Source organism: Homo sapiens, chromosome 2 (assembly GCF_000001405.40).
Source record: "Homo sapiens chromosome 2, GRCh38.p14 Primary Assembly".
Classification (NCBI taxonomy): Eukaryota; Metazoa; Chordata; class Mammalia; order Primates; family Hominidae; genus Homo; species Homo sapiens.
In genome coordinates, this window is record NC_000002.12 from 69,892,080 (window position 1) to 69,914,262 (window position 22,183).

The 22,183-nt window shown below is 40.3% G+C and overlaps 1 protein-coding gene and 1 non-coding gene across 3 annotated transcripts, besides 3 other annotated features; both read left to right on the top strand.

Annotated features, from left to right (window-relative positions):
- Positions 1,502–2,437: an enhancer, noted in NCBI's record as "OCT4-NANOG-H3K27ac-H3K4me1 hESC enhancer chr2:70120713-70121648 (GRCh37/hg19 assembly coordinates)". NCBI's record gives its function as "activates a minimal SCP1, AML or CMV promoter by ChIP-STARR-seq in naive H9 embryonic stem cells {active_cell/tissue: H9 hESC(naive)}" and the evidence as "EXISTENCE:reporter gene assay evidence [ECO:0000049][PMID:30033119]".
- SNRNP27 (small nuclear ribonucleoprotein U4/U6.U5 subunit 27) lies at positions 1,877–13,157 on the top strand. 2 transcript variants are annotated; one of them, NR_037862.2, is made up of 7 exons: positions 1,877–1,939; positions 3,015–3,135; positions 4,357–4,469; positions 5,298–5,377; positions 11,102–11,166; positions 12,175–12,346; positions 12,433–13,157. NR_037862.2 is itself a non-coding variant. In NM_006857.3 (6 exons), exons 1-6 carry the CDS (start codon positions 1,906–1,908, stop codon positions 12,227–12,229), a joined length of 468 nt encoding a protein of 155 aa, NP_006848.1. In that variant the 5' UTR covers positions 1,877–1,905; the 3' UTR covers positions 12,230–13,157. The 2 variants fall into 2 exon arrangements, 1 of the variants encoding a protein (NP_006848.1); NM_006857.3 differs by having other exon boundaries at positions 12,175–13,157.
- Positions 2,180–2,239: an enhancer, noted in NCBI's record as "active region_15979". NCBI's record gives its function as "activates an Ori minimal core promoter by ATAC-STARR-seq in GM12878 lymphoblastoid cells {active_cell/tissue: GM12878}" and the evidence as "EXISTENCE:reporter gene assay evidence [ECO:0000049][PMID:35858748]".
- Positions 2,438–3,372: an enhancer, noted in NCBI's record as "NANOG-H3K27ac-H3K4me1 hESC enhancer chr2:70121649-70122583 (GRCh37/hg19 assembly coordinates)". NCBI's record gives its function as "activates a minimal SCP1, AML or CMV promoter by ChIP-STARR-seq in naive H9 embryonic stem cells {active_cell/tissue: H9 hESC(naive)}" and the evidence as "EXISTENCE:reporter gene assay evidence [ECO:0000049][PMID:30033119]".
- Positions 13,158–20,615: 7,458 nt separating the features above from the next.
- Positions 20,616–20,720, top strand: LOC124906176 (small nucleolar RNA U13). The gene has a single exon (XR_007088761.1). It is a non-coding gene; the product is annotated as a small nucleolar RNA U13 (small nucleolar RNA).

Consider the following 22,183-nt stretch of genomic DNA (forward strand, 5'->3'; position numbering starts at 1 on the left):
GTTCTTCCTCTCTTACACATCTAGTACATACCCCCTTAGGCTTCCCATAAATCCTGTCTTTCCTGTGGATAATTTCTTCAATCATTAGTGGTGTGCTTCTTCTTTCTTTTTTTTTTTTTTTGTTTGAGACGGAGTCCCACTCTGTCGCCCAGGCTGGAGTGCAGTGGCGCAGTCTCAGCTCACTGCAACCTCAACCTCCCAGGTTCAAGCAATTCTCCTGCCTCAGCCTCCCAAGTAGCTGGGATTACAAGCATGCGTCACCACGCCTGGCTATCATTAGTGGTGTGTTTCTCCAATGATGTCCCTAAATCTTCTTCCCTGGGGTCTGCACCTCCCTTGAACCTCCCCATTCTACACCTAGTGCATGCTTTGCCAGGGTAATTCCAAAGGCATCTGGGGGTTGGGGCTGTTGGTAGAAATCCTAGATGTCATGGCTGGATCTTTCCTGGAAGTTTGGGTTGGGACAGGTATTAAACAGGCCACTCTGAATGTATAAATCTAATTAAAAATTTATGTGATTGGTGGGCATTTTTTCCAACCTAATAAAGTCCCTTTCCATCCCCCAGCTCTTTGTATTTTAAAAGCCAGGTCACTAGACTTGATAATTCTAGAGAGAGCTGACTGAAAAGAGTTGGTTTGATTAGAAACAGAGGTTCAACACTTTTACACTGTTGGTGGGAATGTAAATTAGCTCAACCATTGTGGAAGACAATGTGGTGTTTCCTCAAAGACCTAAAACCAGAAATACCATTTGACCCAGCAATCCCATTACTGGGTATATACCCAAAGGAATATAAATAATTTTATTACGAAGATACTTGCACGCATATGTTCACTGCAGTACTATTCACAATAGCGAAGACATAGAATCAACCCAAATGCCCATCAATGATAGACTGGATTAAAAAAATGTGGTACGTATACACCATGGAATACTACACAGCCATAAAAAGGAACGAGATAATGTCCTTTGCAGGGACATGGATGGAACTAGAAGCCATTATCTTCAGCAAACTAACACAGAAACAGAAAACCAAACATTGCATGTTCTCACTTATAAGTAGGAGCTGAACAATGAGAACACATGGGCACAGGGAGAGGAACAACACACACTGGGGCCTGTAGGGGGAGGAGCTGGGGAGAGGGAGAGCATTGGGAAGAATAGCTTAATAGATGCAAGGCTTAATGGGTTGATAGGTGTAGCGAACCACCATGGCACACATTTACCTATGTAACAAAACTGCACATCCTGCAAATGTACCCTGGAACAAAATAAAATAAAATAAGAAATAGAGGTTTGAGTCTTTCCTGGTAAGCATATTTATGCTCTACCACAGACGGTTCAGCCTTGGGGCAAGACAGTCTTTCTCCTAATTTTTGTAGTTTTGAACATTCTAAAGTTTTTGTTGTTGTTGTTGTTGTTTTCCCTGAGGACAGAGGCAACTTTGGGGAAGTACTTTGTCGGGTAGGATGGAATCTGGGGCCTTTAGTTTTCCTTCCAAGAGCCCATAGGAGGTTTTGGGTGCCTTCTCAATGCTGGCATGAGAAAATATAAAGCAGATGGACAGTGAACTTTGGTATATTCACTCCTTATGAATGTTATGTGGAAAAGTGGAAGAACATAAGCTGTTTGTCTATGCTATGTTTACAATTGGTTTGCTCTATTTTGTGCATGTGGACAAAAATGGGGGAAAAATGAAAGCTGTGTTAGGATAATGGGTATACGGCTGAATTTTCCAGGAATTTCTATAATAACACCAAATCGCATGTTTTAATGCCCACCGTGAACAAAGAAGACCGGAACCCTCGCAACTCGTTTTGACGTTTTCTGGTCGGCGGTAAAAGCTCGGTTCCCGGCCCTCCCGGAAGTTGTTGCACAGTTGTTTCCGGGAAGCGGGACTCCAAATGGGTCGCAGTCGCAGCCGCTCTCCACGGAGGGGTGAGTCCTGTAGCAATTCGGAGGATATGGGGCTCTGTTGGAGGCCTGTCCCTTTTGTTTTATTTTGTTTTGTTTTTGGTAGCCGCGTAGCAGAGAGGCGGGCCCTTTTCCCAGGCGGAGAGCGAGGGGTGGATAAAGGAACGTAGACCTGGGCCCTGCCCTCTTCAGCCCGCCCTCTCCGGTTTGAAGGCAGTTGTTTGTCTCTGAATTAGTTTCATTAAGTCTTTGTCACCTTCATACAATAACTTTTATTACACTGTGGCCGGTGGGTTTAGAATTAGACCTCAGTTCCTTTGCTGAATTTCTGGGCGACGGTGGGCAAGTCACTACTCAGCCTTTCTGAATCGAATTCCCAGAATGAGTCATTGAGGGTAGTATTGCCAACTTTTAAAAACTGATGTGAGAATTAATGTCACATCCCATAACATACAGTATGTGATTCTGCCTGGTTCTTAAATACTTAATAAATGTTAGATTCCTGCCCAGGTCATTACAGGGAAATCGATATTAAGAATTTTGAGTCCTGGGAGCTCACTTCGTAATGTTTTCTGGCTACCAGCCCCATAAATGAGGCAGCGCGACGTAAAGAACCCTGGACTTCCATTAGGAGATCTAACTTAGACCCTCGGTTCTGCCCCTGATTCGTTTTTTTTTTAAATCAATTTATTTATTTTTAATGAGACAGAGTCTCGCTCTGTCGCCCGCCCAGGCTGGAGTGCAGTGGCCGATCTCAGCTCACTGCAACCTCCACCTCCTGGGTTCAAGCGATTCTCATGCCTCAGCCTTCCGAGTAGCTGGGATTACCCGTCCGTGCCACCACGCCTGGCTAATTTTTGTATTTTTATTAGAGACGGGGTTTCGCCGCGTTGGCCAGGCTGGTCTCGAACTCCTGACCTTGTGATCCGCCCGCCAGCCTCACAAAGTGCTGGGATTACAGGCGTGAGCCACCGCTCCCAGCCTCTTTTTACCTTTTTAATGTGACTAGTAATGGTTTGCATTATTTTTCTACTGGACGGCGCAGCTCTAGATATTTGAGGTAATTATCAGTTCTGCAATTTGTGTGCGTTTGCATTAGAACGTAGGCGTTCCCGGTCCACATCCCGGGAGAGAGAACGCAGGCGCCGAGAAAGGTCCAGGTCTCGGGAGAGAGATCGGAGAAGGAGCCGCTCGCGATCCCCGCACCGAAGACGCTCCCGGTAAGGGCAGAAAATAAGCCAAGAGTTTTATTTACCGAAAGTCCCTAAGAAACTGGTCGCAGCTCTTAACTTTGTTTTCATCGCTTATAAGGGGATTTACGGTTTCCTGAAATGGAGGAAACTTAATCCAACCTTATTCTAAAGCTAACATTCACCTTGGTTAAATGGTGCTAATAGTACTCTACATCACAAAGTTGTCTTGAAAGAGTAAGTAAGAAATAATGCATGCAAACCCCAGAGCATGGTGCTTGGCAAGAAAAAGAAATAAGTATTTTATATTTTTGTTTCTTTCTTCCGTTCCTTTCCTTTCCTTTTCTTTTCCTTTTCCTTTCTTTTCCTCTTTTTTGAGACGGAGTCTCGCTCTGTCACCCAGGCTGGAGTGCAGCGGCGCAATCTGCTCACTGCAACCTCCGCCTCCCCTGCAATCTCTGCCTCCCCTGGTTCAAGCAATTCTGCTGCTGAGCCTCCCAAGTAGCTGGGACTACAGGCACATGCCACCACACCCAGCTAATTTTTTTTGTATTTTTAGTAGAGACGGGGTTTCAACGTGTTAGCCAGGATGGTCTTGATCTCCTGACCTCGTGATCCACCCACCTCGGCCTCCCAAAGTGCTGGGATTACAGGCGTGAGCCACTGCACCCGGCCTGTTGTTTCTTTTTTATTAACTTTTTGGTGATAATGATTTATTCAAGTATGTAATCAAGAATGGATGATCTTGGAAGAACATTAGAAATGGGCTCTGAGTCTTTTTTTTGGTTTGTTTTTTTTTTTTTTGAGAGAGAGGGTCTCCCTGTGTTGCCCAGGCTGGTCTTGAATTCCTAGGCTCAAGCAATCCTCCTGCCTCTGCTTTCCAAAGTGCTGGAATTAGTAGCGTGAGCCACCAAGCCCCACCTGGCTCTGAGTCTTAATAACCATCAATTGCTGTTTAAGTCAGCTTTTTTGTATATTTGTGTGTGGTTGTTAGAAACTTTTAATTTACATTTTTCTGCCTTCCAGAAAGCTTTCTAGCCCTAGTTGTACTGAATGCAACTGATGATTAAGCAGTAAACTACATTAAAAAATTTTTTTGTTAACAATCAAGGCCTTGGCAGAACCTTTTTCCTCACTTTGCTATACGGAATGACTCGTGGTTCTGTGGAGCTCACCTCATGTATATCTGTGCTGATTGATACAAAGTTGATATGTCTGTCTGTTTCTAACATCTTTGCTTATAAATATTAGATCTCCAAGACGACATAGATCCACATCTCCTTCCCCTTCTCGACTGAAAGAAAGAAGAGATGAGGAAAAGAAAGAAACAAAAGAAACAAAGAGCAAAGAACGGCAGATTACTGGTAATGTTATTAGATAAATAACTGTAGGAAAAGTACAGTGATGATAAAATTATAAAAGTTTAATCTTGAACATTTAAATGTTAAGCCTTTTATAGTATTCATTGCATATGGTTTTGAGTTTTTTTTGGTTTTTTTTTTTTTGAGATAGAGTTTCATTCTTGTCACTCAGACTGGAGTGCAATGGCACAATCTTGGCTCACTGCAACCTCCGCCTCCTGGGTTTAAGCAATTCTTGTGCCTCAGCGTCCCAGAGTAGTTGGGATTACAGGCACCCGCCACTATGCCCGGCTAATTTTTGTATTTTTAGTAGAGACGGGTTCTCACCATGTTAGCCAGGCTGGTCTCAAACTCCTGACCTCAGGTGATCCTCCCGCCTCGGCCTCCCAAAGTGCTGGGATTATAGACGTGAACCACCGTGCCCAGCCTGAGATTTTGTTTTAATTGCACCCTAGCAAGTTGCTGGTTATCTATGGTGCTCCTGATATAGAACGATAGTTAAAAACATGAGAATATTCTATTTTGGAAGTGTCTTCAGAACTATATAGTGTCATGCCTGATATTAAAGGTAGTCCTTAATATGAAACCCAGGTTTTTTTTTAAAAGGTAATCCTGTCTAAAGGCTTCAAGGAGAGGACTTTTTTTTTGTACCATAAGTTACATTCTGTCCAAATGTAAGAGGAATTTTTTCATTAGACTCATCTTCAGCTAATTGTTTTGTGTGTTCTCTGCTAGTGAGGTGGAATGACTATTAATCTGTTACCACCTCTCTTTTTATTTATGTATATATTTGAAATGATAGAGAGGTCACAAAATTATTCTTTTTTGCAGAGGAAGACTTAGAGGGCAAAACAGAGGAAGAAATAGAAATGATGAAGTTAATGGGATTTGCCTCCTTTGACTCCACAAAAGTAAGTAAAACGTGCAACATTCTCATTTGAATTAATATGTTATGACTGTCCTATCTTTCCATGTTCTTTTCCATTTATACAAATTTATTTGGTTATAAGACAATAACTATCTGTTTGAAGGGCTTTGAGAATACAAAGGAGGAAACAGTGAACTGCCATTGGAATTCAGGGAGTGGTTGCCAGGGACGATGTTTGAATTAGATTTTAAAGGACAAGTAGAAGTGATCAGACAAAGAAGAGGAAGAAGATTATTTCAGGTAGAGGGAAGAGCTCATGAAAATGCCATGTAGGTGTAAAGGAGCATAGTGTATTGTGGGAATTTCAGATTCGACCAGGGATAAAGGGGTGCTGATGGGCTAGTGACTTAGGCTAGAAATAGAGGTAGGAGGCAAATCACAGAGGGCTTTTGATGCCCTTAGTCATGCTAAGGAATTCAGAGTTTATTCTTTTGGTGTTGAGGAGAGGAAGTAGTGATTTTTAAATAAGGGAGTGGCATGGTTATATGTGTGTTTTGGAATAATGACTCTGGGGGCAGCATGGAGGACAGATGGGAGGTGGGTTAGATTGAAGGCAGGGAGAACTGCTGATTTGTGCAAGTGAAAGATGATAAAGGCCTGAACTGAGTTGAGAATGATTCAGGAGCTGGGGGAAGTGGGAGTGAGTAGTTAGTAATGCCTCTCAGGTGTCAGGCTGGGACCCTGAGTGATACAGTTAACCCAGAACAGAGTTTCTGGAAGGGGAACTGCTGGGAAATGGAAGAACAAAATCCAGCTGCCAGATAGAGATGACATTGGGCAGCTGCATACTTGTCTCATAGCTTAGAAGTGGGGTGGATAGGGGAGGGAATGCTGTCTAGCCTTCATAATAGCAGAGAGATGAGGGAAGAGGAAAAAGAGGGAGGGATTATATAGAGGAGGGAGAGCATAGAGCGAGAGATGGGGGAAGAGAGAGATGGGTATAGAGAGAGGAAATGAAGAGAGGAGAGGGGATGGAGAGAGGGAGGGTGTGTGGAAAGAAAAACATATTTTTTAAAATCTCTTTTCTAGAATTTTAAGTCTTTCCATTTAGTTTTGCAAATGGAAATAGAGATGTTTGAGAAAAAGTTGTCAAAAATAATCCACTTTCCCAAGTCTTGTATTCCATTGAGTTGCTAATGGAATGGGGTAATCTCAGTGGCTGTAAGTTTCTTTCTAACTAATGTGACTGTGTAGGGCTCACATGTTTTAAAATGACAGTGTGTAACTTAGGAGTACTGAGGCATGACTGTTTTGAGGTGAGAAATTAAGAACAAGCTCTTGTTCTTGCAATGGTTATGTGAGCTCTGTTTTGGAATTTAATGAAGTTTATTTATCAGCTTTTTTCCCTTGAATGCCCTAAATTCTTATTTATTTTCCAAAGACTATTTTATAAATGAAAGTTTATTAAGATATATGTTGGGTGAAATGTAAGTTTATTAAGATATATGTTGGGTGAATTAAAATATGTCAAAAGTAAAGCAACTATAGTTTTATTGTCTTTAGAAGAATGGGGAGGGAACTTTTTCCCCAAAGAAAATGGAATTATTTTCTTTGTTTTTTGGTTTTCCTGTTGCTGGATGTTAGGTTTAAAGTTCCTGAAAGTCAGATCTAAGGGTGGTGCCACCCATCACTTAAATGTAGTCAGTGAAGAAGATGTTTGCTTATAAAGGAAAACTTAGGTGAAAAGTCATAGATCTTAAAAAAATTATGGAGTACCATCACACTAATTGATGTCAGTTTTTTAAAATGACATCTACAAGGATGTCAATTTAGTTTATATGCAGTTGGCTTCATGGCTATCAGTTATAACGTCAGCTCATTTGTGTTTTTAAGTAATGTGTGTCTTGTGATGTTTCATCATTGATCTATTGTGGGACCTCTTCATATGCCAGTATAGTCACCCATTTTCCTTTCTATTTGATTGTATTTTCATTTTTTTATTTGTATTATTTTTTATTTTAATTTTATTTTTTCGAGACAGAGTCTCGCTCTGTTGTCCAGGCTGGAGTGCAGCGGCGCAATCTCGGCTCACTGCTACCTCCGCCTCCTGGGTTCAACCGATTCTCCTGCCTTGGCCTCCCAAGTTGCTGGGATTACAGGCGCCTGCCACCACGCCTGGCTAATTTTCGTATTTTTAGTAGAGATGGGGTTTCGCCATATTGGCCAGGCTGGTCTCGAACTCTTGGCCTGAAGGGATCCACCTGCCTTGGCCTCCCAAAGTGCTAGGATTACAGGCGTGAGACATTGCGCCCGGCCTCATTTTTTAGTTTTTTAGAGACAGGGTCTTGTTTTGCCACCCATACTGGAGTACAGTGGTATGATCATGGCTCACTGCAGCCTGACCTCCTGGGCTGAAGCAATTTCCCTGCCTTAGCCTCTGGAGTAGCTGAGAGTAGGCACATGCCGCCACGCCAGGATAATGTTTTTATTTTTTGCAGAGATAGGGTCTTGCTGTGCTGCCTAGATTGGTCTTGAACTCATGGCCTCAAGAAATCCTCCTGCCTCAGTCCATTTTTTTTTTTTTATTTTTGAAGAGACAGAGTCTTCCTATGTTGTCCAGGCTGTACTCAAACTCCTTGGCTCAAGAAATCCTCTTGCCCCAGCCTCCCAAGTAGCTGGGACTGTAGCCTCACAGCAATGTGCTTGGCTTTTCCCTTTCATCTTATTAGATTGGTGGAAAAGTAATTACAGTTTTTGCCATTGAAAATAATGGCTAAAACTGCAATTACTTCAATAACATTTTTCTAGATGGTTTCAAAGTTTGGTTTTGTTTATTAATGGATAATTTTCTATGCCAGCATGTAAATAAATGAGGATAGGGCTAATAATATGCAATTCTGCAAATAGTTTCCAGAAATCAGTAAACCTTTAGGAATCGAACTTTGTAAAAAGGTTATCATCATTTACTTTTTTGTGCCCAAGACCAGTCTTTCTAAGTCATGCTTACTTCCTATTATAGGGAGTTCAAAATCATATACCTCACAAGTAATTTGTTCAGGACTTACCTTCCACCTCCAAAAAAATACATGAAAATAGGAATAGAAAAGTAAGACCAAATACATTTATTTTAGCCCCACTTCAAATATACTGTTCGTCTGTGTATGCCTTTTGGCCAGTGGGTCAGAATCGGTCTTTGCCCTGACACCAATATCTAATTAAGTACACTACACAGATAGGCTAATCTTGCATAAGTAGTAATGGGAGAGGGAGGAGGTGGGGGTCACTTGTATGTGTCACGACGTTAGCTGATGATACTCATCTAAGTCATTTTCTGAATATCTGGGAGTGCAGTGACCTAGGATGTGAGAATGCAAAGGTGACTCTCAGACATATCCCTCCATCAAGAAGCTTGCAGTCTCATAGGGAAAATAACTTTATGATGTACATCATGGTTTTATAGGGTAGAAAATAGAGGGTACTGGGCTGGGTGCAGTGGCTCATGCCTGTAATCCCAGCACTTTGGGAGGCCGAGGCGGGGGATCACGAGGTCAAGAGGTCAAGACCATCCTGGCCAACATGATGAAACCCCATGTCTACTAAAAATACAAAAATTAGCTGGGCGTAGTGGTGCATGCCTGTAGTCCCAGCTATTCGATAGGCTGAGGCAGGAGAATCACTTAAACCCGACAGGCGGAGGTTGCAGTGAGCCGAGATTGCGCCACTGCACTCTAGCCTAGTGGCAGAGCAAGTCTCCATTTCAAAAAAAAAAAAGAAAGAAAGAAAGAAATAGAGGGTACTGTGAGGAAGGCACAGTTAACATTTTTCAGCAGTTAGAGAAGAGGGCACTTCCTGGCACCTGGAATGTTTGAATTGGGCCTTGAACAATGGGTAATAACCAGATAGTTCAAGTTGGAGGCAGGGAAGGCAATTCAGGCATGAGGAACAACATGGGGGAAAGTGGGTATGTTGAGTTGACTTGGCTGATCAGAAGACCTGAACAAGAATTTGTGAAAAAGAGGATGGGTGCTACATTCAGAAAGGTCAAGATGGAGTAACACATAACAACCTAGCATTTGTGTCTGTTATTCTGTTCTGATTCTTGATTTAAAGATCAAAATTGGGCTGGGCACAACGGCTCATGCCTGGGATTCCAGCACTTTGGAAGACCAACACAGCAGAATTGCTTGAGACCAGGAGTTCAAGACCAGCCTGGGCAACATAGTGAGATCCCATCTCTACAGAAAAAAAAAATTAAAAATTAGCCCAGCTTGGTGGCATGTGCCTGTAGTCCCAGCTACTCGGGAGGCTGAGGCAGGAAGATCACTTGAGCCCAGGAGTTTGAGGCTGCAGTGAGCTATGATCACGCCACTGCACTCCAACCTGGCGACAGTGAGGCCCTGTGTCTAAAAAATAATAATTTTTAAAATGAACAAAAAATTGCAAGGGTTGTACAAGAAATGGGATTTAGATGAATGGCAACCATTCCAGCCATGATATGAGAATATTATTAGCTAAGGTTGTAAGTTAAATTTTGTGTGAATGTGAGTTTTTCTGGAGATTATACCTTTTATCTGGTTTCAAGGTATTCTTTGACCAGAAAAGATTAGATTCTGCTACCCTACTTTCTCAGCATGCTTTGCACATAGTACATACACTGTGAATGTTTGTTGGTTTGAATATTAATTGCTTATACACGATTGTAAAAATGTGAGCAGAGAGTTATACCACTTGGGAGCTCATAGGATCTGGAAATTATCTCTGCCTCATTGGACTCTCCTCCTTCCTCCTTCCTCCTTCCTCCTCCCTCCTTCCTCCTCCCTTCTTTCTTCTCCTTCCTCCTTCCTTCTTTCTTCTCCTTCCTCCTCCTCCTTCCTCCTTCCTCCTCCTTCTTCCTCCTCCTCCTCCTTCCTCTACTTCCGCTGCTGCTGCTGCTGCTCTTGCTGCTGCTTCTGTTTGTGCTGCTTCTCCTGCTGCTGCTCCTGCTTCTTCTGGTTCTGCTTCTGCGTCTGCTTCTTCTGCTGCTCCTTCTGCTGCTCTTGCTTCTTCTTCGGCTTCTGCTGCTGCTGTTTCTGTTTCCTCTGCTGCTGCTGCTGCTTGTGCTGCTGCTGCTCTAGCTTCTGCTTCTGCTTCTGCTGCTTCTGCTGCTCCTTCTGCTGCTTTTGCTTCTTCTGCTTCTGCTGCTTGTGTTTCTGCTTCTTCTGCTGCTTGTGCTGCTGCTGCTCTTGCTTCTTTTGCTTCTGCTTCTTCTGCTGCTCCTTCTGCTGCTCCTTCTGCTGCTCTTGCTTCTTCTTCTGCTTCTGCTGCTGCTGTTTCAGTTTCTTCTGCTGCTGCTGCTTCTGTTTATTCTGCTACTGCTGCTTCTGCTTCTTTTCTTCTTCTGCTTTTCTTCTGCTTCTTCCCCTTCCGCTGCTGCCGCTGCCGCTTCTTCTGCTGCTTCTCCTTCTCCTCCTCCCCCTCGGCCCCCGCTTCTCCCCTACTTCCCTCTTCCTTCCTCCTTCTTCCTTTCTCCTCCTTTCTTCTTCTTCTTTTTTTTTTTTTTTTTTTTTTGAGACTGGATCATGCTCAGTTGCCCAGGCTGGAGTGCATTGGTGTGATTATGGCTACTTGCAGTCCCAAACTCCTGGGCTCAAGCAATCCTCCCACCTTAGCCTTCCGCCAAGTAGCTGGGAGTACAGGTACATGCCACTGCCACCACACCTGCTTTCATGTATCCTGATTTAATGTATCCTTCCTGTTTTTTGTCTGTTTGTTTATTGTTTTTCTTCAGGGTAAGAAGGTGGATGGCTCTGTAAATGCCTATGCCATAAATGTCTCTCAGAAGAGGAAGTACAGGTATGCATAGCCCCCATTATTATGTTTGAACTAATAAATCAGTTTTTTACTTCAAACTTTATTATGAGATAATCATGTTTGTAGGAAATGTAGCAGTTTTCCATACTGTTCCTTGTTTGAATGAAATATTCATTGCTTATATTCTGGTGTGTTAAAATTGTTTTCCCATTTACATGTAAGCTAATAGCTATTAGAGAGAGGGTAGTTGGCTTAAATATTTTAGGACTATAGATAGTAATTTCCTCAGAAAAGCATAATTTCAAGTCTATGGGCTTTGATTTCATTATAATTTAGGTATAAGATAGATCCCTCCTAAACTAGATTGATTATGTAAGGATTTCAACTGTAAATATATTCTTCTGTTAAGTATAGGCATATTTTATTTGTACCACAGTTTTGGAGCGAACCAATCCATACATGAAATCTCACTGAATTCTTAATGAATGAAAAAGTCAAGATATTTTCAAACATTGCCTTTCTCTCTAACTTTGTCGCTGATAAAAGATTAATAGTCCAGTTAATTTAGATTATGAATCATGTGATTGAAAATGCTATAAGCTAAGGTACTAGAATCATCTTGGACAGTCTTTTGTAAAATTACCTTCAAATAAGGTCTTAGGGGGAGAATCATTACAGTGTGCAATTGAATTTGCTCAATGGGTGCCTGTTTTGGAACTCTTTTCTATTTCTAAATTATATGTTTCGTGTTACCTAAAATAAATAAGGATTTTCAATTGATTTTTTTTTTAAGTCTGTAAATCTTCTCAAATAATTTCAAAATTAAACTTCAATACTGCTATCTGGAGTTAAAAGAAATCTGAAAGTCTTTGGTTTATTTTGAAAGTAAAATAATCTCTAAATATACATTAAATTACCTTGAATAGTTTCTACCCTAGACTTTGCTATTATAAAGATGGTTTATAGTTTTCATCTCTGATGCATGTTTTTTTTTTTATAAGAGGAGTATAGGATTAAAAAAAAACAATGAATTTTCTCTTCTCATCATAGGCAGTACATGAATCGAAAAGGTGGATTCAACAGACCTTTGGATTTCATTGCATGAGAATTGAAGTGTTGAAGGATGATTTTTTTTCCCCTCATCTTGGTCAGAGAGTGGATTTTGTATTTTGTATTTAACTTGCATTCAAAAAACAGGATCTCAGTTCTCCTTTCTTGTAAAGTAAGAAAATCTTATTTATGATATATGCAGTTAACTTACCTTGCCTCAACAGAAGAAAGGTTAAATATTACATTTTTTTCTTTTAGGAAATATCATTTGTGGCAGGCGTCAACCCCATTTTATTTGTCCTTATTCCTGTGGAAGCAGTATATGTTTTCTTCCTGAATGCTCATTAGGACTTCTTAAAAAACATGAAAGTAATTTGGAAGTAAGTTTATCCAATAAAGCAGTATTTCTACCCTTTTAGATTTGATAAATATTTTTATTACTAAAGAATCTCCCCAGACATTTTCTTTTTTTTTTCACACATAGATTTAAGTATCTTGATTGTTAGTAGTCTAAAAATGGGAAGAATGAAAAAGCATAACTAGATTTTTCTATCTTCTGTGGTCGCCCGCCCCCCCCCAAAAAAATACCATTTATGGTTCTCTCCGCAAGTATAAAAGCATTACATGCAAAAAAAAGATCTCAGAGAAAACAAAAGTAAAAGAAAAGCAGAAAATCACCTGTTATCTACTCCCAGAAATAATCAATTTCAACATTTTGGTATATGTTTTTCCAGGCTTCTTTGGGTTGATCCCACCTATGAGATCAGAATATGTATGCAGTTCTTTCTTTAACCCTTTTTTCTCCTATGTACTGTGAACATTTAAAAAGTACTTTTAAATATTCTTTGGAAACTTAGCTTTTAGTAACTACTTGGTTGTATCATAATTTATTAACTAATGTTTTATTGGTAAACATTGGCTTGCCTCCCATGACTTGCCATTATAATTAAAACTGTGACTACTATCTGTCTCCATTACATACATATTTTTGTATGTTTCATTATTTCCTCAGGGTCCGTACTTAGACGTGGCATTGCTGAGTGAGATTAAAAGGGCCATGTATACATGTTTTAAGACATTTGGTATCTCTGGCTAAAAGGTAACAGCCAACTCTATCCAGTAAAGTATGAGCATTCTTGTTTCAGATACATGTACAAATATTAAGTGTAAAATTTGTTTTAAAGTTTCCTACCTGATGGGTAAAATAATGGTACTATTTGGTTTTGTATTTTTGTTTCATTTCTAGGGAGGATGAATATTTTTTAAATGTATTAGCCATATTTCTTTTGTAACATGCTAATTTTAAATCTTGGATCTATTAATATTTGTCTTTTGGCAAGCTTTTCTTTTTTTCATTTGAAGAACGCTCTTTTTCTATTGAAGATAATAACCATCACCCATTCTGTTGTAGACTTTGCTGGTAGTTGAGGCTGTGTGGCTAGGTTTTAACCTATTTTCCTGAGTAAGTACTACAAACATGGAACACAATTCAGATGATACAAAGGATATCTAGTGATGCATTAATTGTATATCCTTTCAGAGATATTCCACGTATATACAACCATATATTTATATATGGTTGTATATATGTTATACATATATATATATAACATATCTATATCTATCTATCTATATATATATATGTCTTGTATATAAAGATAGAAGCAAACTCTTCATACTGTTCTGCACCTAGTCTTTGTTCACATACATCTTATACATCTTGTGATGGTTTCTTATCGGTACCGGTAAAATTGTCTCAGTTTTTTAATTTCTTTTTTTTTTTTTTTCCTTTTTGAGACAGAGTTTCACTCTGTCACCTAGGCTAGAGGGCAGTGGCGCAGTTTTGGCCCACTGCAACCTCTCCCGCCAGGGCTCAAGCAATTATCCTGCCTCAGCTTCCTGGTAGCTGGGATTACAGGCGTGCACCACCACGCCCGGCTAATTTTTGCATTTTTGGTAGAGACAGGGTTTCACCATGTTGTCCAGGCTGGTCTCAAACTCCTGACCTCAGATGATCCACCCCCCCTTGGCCTCCCAAAGTGCTGGGATTACAGGGATGAGCCACCGTGCCTGGCCTTATCTCTAGATTTTTAAGGGCTGCTTTATAGTCAATCCATGGTAGGATGGACCATAATTTATTTAACTAATTCCCTGTTGATGGACATTCAAGTTATTTTTAAGTTATTTCTAATATTTTGCTACTTTAAGCAATTCTGTAATGGTTATCCTTGCATGTACCTTTTACAAATCTTTAACTAGATTTTTAAATCCTATTGCATCTGAAATTTGACCACCTATTGTAGTTCTTTTTTTTTTTTTTTTTTTTGAGACAGAGTCTTGCTCTGTCGCCCAGGCTGGAGTGCAGTGGCATTATCTTGGCTCACTGCAACCTCCACCTCCTGGGTTTAAGCAATTCTCCTGCCTCAACCTCCCAAGTAGCTGGGACTACAGGTGCATGCCACCATGCCTGGCTAATTTTTTTTTTTTTTTTTTTTTTGAGATGGAGTCTCGCTCTGTCACCCAGGCTGGAGCGCAGTGGCGCAATCTCAGCTTACTGCAACCTCCACCTCCCGGGTTCAAGTGATTCTCCTGCCTCAGACTCCCAAGTAGCTAGGACTACAGGCGCTTACCACCACGCCTGACTAATTTTTTGTATTTTTAGTAGAGATGGGGTTTCACCATGTTAGCCAGGATGGTCTCAATCTCCTGACCTCATGATCCACCTGCCTCGGCCTCCCAAAATGCTAGGATTACAGGCATGAGCCACCGTGCTCAGCCTCAATTTTTGTATTTTTAGTAGAGATGGGGTTTCACTATGTTGGCCAGGCTGGTCTCGAACTCCTGAGCTCAGGTGATCACCCACCTCAGCCTCCCAAAGTGCTGGGATTACAAGCACGAGCCTCCATGCCTGGCCTACTTAGTTCTTTGAAAGCTTTCCTGGCACGTTAGTTCCCTGTAAAGAAAATAATAATGATAATGACTGCATTGCATGCTACAGGGTGCAGAGCACCTTGATTCACTTAATCCTTATGAGATAAATAGAGCAGGTACTACCATCTCCCATTTCCCAGATGAGAAAGCTAATGCTATTCAGCATAAAGGCAGAAACTCTTGATGTTTATTCTACCTACTGCCTTCAATGTTTAAGTATTTGAATGTTGTACAGCTTTGAAGTACCCATTGCACAACTGTCACCACTCTAGGCATTTGGATTGTTTTGCTTGGACTTTTTGCCAGCTGAGCTAAATAGTTCCCCATGCCTCTACCCACCAAAATACTATATATCTGTAAATAATCCATCATAAGGACTGTTTCTATTTTTGTGTATACCTAAGAAAAGCAGACCTAATTGTTGTCTTAATAGTGAAGCCAAATCTTCTAGGATAAAATAATATACTCCAAACCAAAGTACTGCCTTATCATTTTATTGGTGTTGTGTTACTAGAGATTTGACTTGAAGTCCTTAAGGCAGCATACTTTGCAGATAAATAATCTGAGAGAATCTGGTAGGTCAACAGATCTGCTGTCTGTGAGCTAACACTAAAGAAATAGAAGAAGAGGAAATCTTTGAAAAATCGAGAAAAGATACCTTTGATCCCAAAAGTCTTGGTTTGAAGGAACTTTTTATCCATTAGATCATCTAATTCTGGAAGAATAACCAAAGTGCAGCATCCTTGTATTCTTCCTCTAAGAGGCTCATCCTCATAGGGGATGTAAATTGAGCCAAGTTTTCTAAGTGTCTAAATGTTAAGTGCTCCAGGGCTCAGTCCTTGGACTCTCTAGTCTCTTCTTTGGTGAAGTGTCCATTTGTGTGGCTTCAAACACCTTCTGCCATCTCTCTCAAATTTATACTCTTCCTGTCGGACCATTTTACTGAACTACAGTCATGTATATGCAACTAGACTATTAGGCACCTCAAATTTAAGATTAACTGAACAGAACTCTGCCCAGTCTTCTTTTTTGGGGCTTTCCCATCATAGTAAATGGCCCTTTCATTCACTCCTTTGCTCAGACCATGGTCCTTGGGGCCATCTTTGACTCTTTTATTTTATGCCTTACATCTGATTCATTAGCAGATTATTTTGGCTTTAACGTCAGAGTACATTTTGAATTTGACCACTTTTCACCACCTGTGCTAACCTAAGCCATCTCTCTTGCCTGGACTACTGCAGTAGCCTCCTAACAAGTCTTCCTCCTTCCACTCTTGCTGCCTGTTTATTCTCCATCCAGTATCAGAGAGGAACCTTTTGAAATGTACATCAAGGCTGGGCGCAGTGGCTCCTGCCTATAATCCCAGCTCTTTGTGAGGCTGAGGCCAGCGGATCACTTGAGGTCAGGAGTTTGAGACCAGTTTGGCCAATGTGGTGAAACTCCATCTCTACTAAATATTCAAAAATTAGCTGGACGTGGTGGCATGCACCTGTAATCCCAGCTACTCGGGTGGCTGGGGCAGGAGTTTTGCTTGAAATCTGGAGGCGGAGGCTGCAGTGAGCCAAGATCTCACCACTACATTCCAGCCTGGGCAACAGAGCGAGATTTTGTCTCTAAATTAATTAATTAATTAAATGTGCAACTAGTCATATTGCTCCTGGCTCCAGTGATTTTTTTAAATCATTTAGAATAAAGTCCAGTCCTCAGTGTGGTCTACAGGGCCTCCATATGACCTAGACCCTGGCTTTCTACAGCCTCACTCTTGCTCACTGCACTGAGCTACACTGGCCGGCCTCCTTGCTGTTCTTTCAAAACAGGCTTGTGTCTACTCCCAGAGTCTTCTCACTTGCTCTTTCTTCCTTCTGGAATGTTCCCCCACCTCCCCGATTTGCACGAGTAGCTTCTTTACATTGTTCAGATCTCTGCTCAAACTAAGGTCATTCCTGATCACCCTATCCAAAATAGGAAACTTTCTTCCCTGTCTCTGTACTCTGCTTTACTCTTTTTTTTTTTAACATTTAAAAAGTTGAGATAAAATTTATATGCCATAAAATTTACCCTTCTAAAGCTTACAATTCAGTGGTTTTTAATATACTCAGAGTTATGCATCCATCATTCCTAATTCCAGAATGTTTTCATAACCCCAGAAAGAAACCTCATATCCATTAATAATCACTCCTCATCCCCCTACCCCTAGAATCCACTAATGTACTTCCTGTCTCTACAGATGTACCTATTTTGAACATTTCATATAAATGGAATAATACAACATGTAGCCTTTTGTGTCTGGCTTCTCTCATTTAGCATAATGTTTTCAAAGTTCCTCTGTGTTGTAGCATGTATCAGTACATCCATCATTCTTTTTTGTCTGCAAATAATATTCCATTCTATAGTTATACCACATTTTTGTTTATAATTCATCAGTTGATGGGCATGTGAGTTGTTTTCACTTATTGACTATTAAGAAATAATGGTGCCATGGCTGGGTGTGGTGGCTTATGCCAGTAATCCCAGCACTTTGGGAGGCCGAGGTGGGCAGATCACTTGAGGTCAGGAGTTCAAGACCAGCCTGGCCAACATAGTGAAACCCTGTCTCTACTAAAAATACAAAAATTAGCCAGACATGGTGGCGTGTGCCTGTAATCCCAGCTACTTGCGAGGCTGAGGCAGGAGAATTGCTTGAACCCAGGAGGCGGAGGTTGCAGTAAGCAGAGATTGCACCATTGCACTCCAGCCTGGGTGACAGAGTGAGACTCCATCTCAGAAAAAAGAAAGAAAGAAAGAATGGTGCCAGAACATTTGTATACAAGTTTTTGTATGAACATGTTTTCAGTTCTCTTGGGAGTATGCTTAGGAGTGGAATTACCAAGTCATGGAAACTATGTTTAACTTAAACATAAAGCACTGTCAAACTGTCTTTCAAAGCTGCTGCACTATTTTACAGTCCCATCCACAATATATGAGGGTTCCAGTTTCTCCGTGTGGCTCTCCAAGCCCTCCTTTACTTGTCTTCACCGCATTTATCACTGCCTGACATACCCTATATTCTTTTATTACGTCTGGTTCTTCTATTAGACAGTGAGCTCGGAGAAGTGGGGGATCTCTTTGGTTAGCTCTGCAGCCCCAGCACCACACAGTGGCTGGCACAGAGTGCAACGCTCAACCCATGTCTTGAATTTGTGAATATAGTTCTGTAACCTTTTTTCACTAACCTAGTCCCTTGATCTTCATTTTACATCTGATTACCTTTAGTTACCCAAGTACTTTATTTTGTATTTAACTTGCATTCAAAAAACAGGATCTCAGTTCTTCCTTCTTGTAAAGTAAGAAAATCTTATTTATGATATATGCAGTTGACTTATCTTGCCTCAACAGAAGAAAAGTTAAATATTACATTTTTTTCTTTTAGGAAATATCATTTGTGGCAAGCGTCTTTCTTGTAACAGTCTTAAAACATCGTGACAAAGCTAAACTCCTTTCGAACAGTACTCAGAATGATATTGCCCATTCTTTCTGCTAATCCTTTGCTTTGTATCTTTTGTCCATGCCTGTATGTATATAGCAGAGTAGGAAATTGGGAAAATACATAGTTTGGGCCTTTAAAAAGAAAATGCTGTAAGGGTTATTTTACAATCTATTTACTCAACACTGTGCCTTAGGGATCTTTTCTTGACAGTATATATAAATCTACCTTTTAAAAAGCTGCTGCATAGTGTTTTGTGTGATATACATATGACAATTTAGCCATTGCCTTTTTGTTTGTTTGTTTGTTTACCTGCTCTGGCTGGAGTGCTGTGTGGTGCAATTATGCTCACTGGAGCATCAACTTCCTGGGCTCAAGCAGTCCTCTTGCTTCAGCCTCCCAAGTAGCTGGGACTACAGGCTGCACCACCACACCCAGCTAATTTATTTTTTGAGTAGAGGTGAGTTCTCACTATGTTGCCCAGTCTGGTCTCAAACTCCTGAGCTCAAGTGATCCTCCCATTTCAGCCTCCCAAAGTGTTGAGATTACAGGCATGAGCCACGGCCCCTGGCTGTTGCCTCATTTTCTAAATCACAGATTTGTAGAGTGACTAATTTTTGCAAAACAGTGTTTTTAAAGGTTTTTAAAATTTAATATTATGATGTTAGGTATCATATTAGTGTGTCCAAAATAGCCACAAAGAAAGAGATGATACTGTTGAACCAGAAACTTGAAATCCTGATTTATCTGCTTCGAGGAACAAAATCAATTCCTCAAAACCTTATAAGACAAAATATATTTTAATGTCATAGTAGTTAGGAGGTATCAAACTCAGTTATAAATAGGGGGCTTTAATTCCCATAGTGATAGAACTTTTTAGGCACTTCAGGATTATAATACGGTAACAGTTTTCTTCCCTGCCACTCTGGGGTGCTCTCTGAAGCGGCATCTCCGGCAGAGAACTCCATAGTGTGTGATGAGCCTGCTGCTTGCTCAGTATTGGCATTTACCTCTTAATATACTGTCCTATGCCCATCTGGAGTATAAGCCTCCCAGAGGAGACTGGGCAGAGATTAACTTGGCAGTAAAGATTATCTGACAAGTCTAATATTTTATGTCTTTGTAATTCCCCATTTTCAAGTATATATCTCAATTAGTTTATCTTGATATGTGCTCAAAGATATAAACTATTGTCATCCCATGTTTATGCTATTACACATAACTTTTTATTTAAAGTTCTGGTCATAAAATTCTGGTTCAAACATTCTAGAATTCCCAGCTTCTATTTCTGGAGCTGTGACTCTCAGTCAGTCAATGCTTAGGCCATGCCTTTGAGGCACTAGGTATTGAAAGTCACCACTTCTTCATTATCTTAGGATTCTCAGTTCTTTCTTCAAAACTTATACTTTCAGGTTTTCTTAATTAACTGGTCATTCCATACATCTGTGTAAAATAATTTCTAGGAAAACTCCGAATCTCAAAACCTTTGTTTTATACTTACTACTTCATTTCCAGTAGATGGCACCAAACACCCTTTGAAGGTCTTCATTATACTAATCCCTAGTTGGTGTTGCTGGCTAATTGATAATTTCATCCACCACCAAGGAACGAACATGGTCTATTCTTCAGCTGATTCTCTAATTTTTATATAATGTAGTATTTTTGTTTGGAGTCTAAGCTAGACTTGTTGGCATTTAAATTATTTGCTGTTTCTGGCTCAGATTTCAACCTTTTTTCCCCCTTTTTAAGACAAAAATAAGTGTGACTTTCTGGTCAGGGTGATTGTAGAGGAAGGGTCATGATACTGAAATAGGACTTGGTTAAAATAAAGAGTTGAGAGTAAGAGACTAAAGACATATGCCAAATGTTTGTAATAAAATTAAAGAGAAAATATAAATATATACAAAATCCAAAATGTCAGGATAATGAAATCAAAGCATTTTTAGTATTATCACTTTGGGTACTTTAGTAGAATTGCACTCGTTTATGATTTTGAAGTTTGTTTTACAAATAACATCCAATTTAAAAATACTCTTTTAAAACTTAGATCCTTTTATAGTTCATAAACATAGTAATTAGGTGTTCCCATTGCATGTATGAGATGTGCCTCCCAAAGAGCTTGTTACAGCGTTAGTACATTACCTGTCTGATATGGAGAAAAAAAACTGTTATATTTCTACCTTCATTTCCAACTTTGTATTGTGCTTTGAAAACCTTTACCTTCAGTATGTGTATTTCATTAGTATTTTCATAAAGAATCAGTTTTTAGATCCAGTTAACCACTGAAACCAGAATATGCCTATATGTCAGGCATGATTTACTACATGTTTATTCTATTTATTGAGTTGATTTAATTTTAGTGGGTTTGTGGACATTAAAAAATACATGTTTAATATTTCCCACCATAATTACATTTACACCTTTGTCTTTCTTTTTCTTCAGTACTTGAGTTGTCAGTGTTTTGTGACTCAGTCTGGAAATCTGTTTAAACCACCTTGTCTTTATACAACTACCAACAGGAGGATTGGTAATTTGGGCTCTGGGTGAGACATACATAGGTTCAGTTTCCATGTCTGCAGCTGAATGCATGACAGGGAAAATCATTTAGCCTCCCTGGGCCTCAGTTTCTTCACGTGCAAAATGTAATTAACACAACCTACCTCATGGGGTTATATTGAGGATTAGAGATAATGTAGGTAGGATACCTACACATAGTAAGCTATTATATATTGGCAACAATAATAAACTTTTAAAAAAAGAAATATGTTCATGCTTTACTCATTTGTATTTTGGGGACTCAACCTACCAAGAACTTTATTTCTACTTTTAAAATTGGAGATGTCTGTCAGTACATTGGCAGTGTAGCTTGGTTTGCCAGATAGCTTTCATTTCAAAAATTTTAATAGGTTTAGGGACCGATCTTTAACCTTTTTAGTTCTGTATACGTAACATTCTATTAAGCATTTATATTGGTACCACCCCATGCGGAAACACACAATTTGCAGACGTCTTAAAGAGTATTCTTGGCCGGGTGCGGTGGCTCACGCCTGTAATCCCAGCACTTTGGGAGGCTGAGGTGGGTGGATCACCTGAGGTCAAGAGTTCGAGACCAGCCTGGCCAACATGGTGAAACCCCGTCTCTACTAAAAATACAAAAATTAGCCGGGCGTGGTGGTGGGCACCTGTAATCCCAGCTACTCAGAAGGTTGAGGCAGGAGAATCGCTTGAACCCGGGAGAAGGAGGTTGCAGTGAGCCGAGATCGCGCCATTGCACTCCAGCCTGGGCGACAAGAGCAAAACTCCCTTTCAAAACAAACAAACAAAAACAATAATCTTGTGAGTGTTTTCATCTAGAATTAAAAGGGAGGGGAAAACCCCAAAAGAGATTTAAGCAAAGAATCTTAGGGTTTAATGCCATTCTGTAGGTTCAGGAAGTCTCTGAGCTTTAAAAAGCCGCTCGCGTGAAAGTAATTAATTATTCCATCACTTCCCGGGGGTGGAGGGGGGTGCGGAAAAGGCGCATGAGCTCAATGCTGTATACTGCAGCCCGATTCCAGCTCTTTCTTGAGGGCAGAAAAAACGCCGAGCGGCGAGCATTTAACAACGGCCGGCTTT

Bases quoted from the DNA above. Each gene is read 5' to 3' on its own strand.
- SNRNP27 (NM_006857.3), top strand. From the start codon at position 1,906: ATGGGTCGCAGTCGCAGCCGCTCTCCACGGAGGG. The intron at 3,136-4,356 runs GTAAGGGCAGAA...TATAAATATTAG, and splicing joins CCGCACCGAAGACGCTCCCG to ATCTCCAAGACGACATAGAT. The intron at 4,470-5,297 runs GTAATGTTATTA...TCTTTTTTGCAG, and splicing joins CAAAGAACGGCAGATTACTG to AGGAAGACTTAGAGGGCAAA.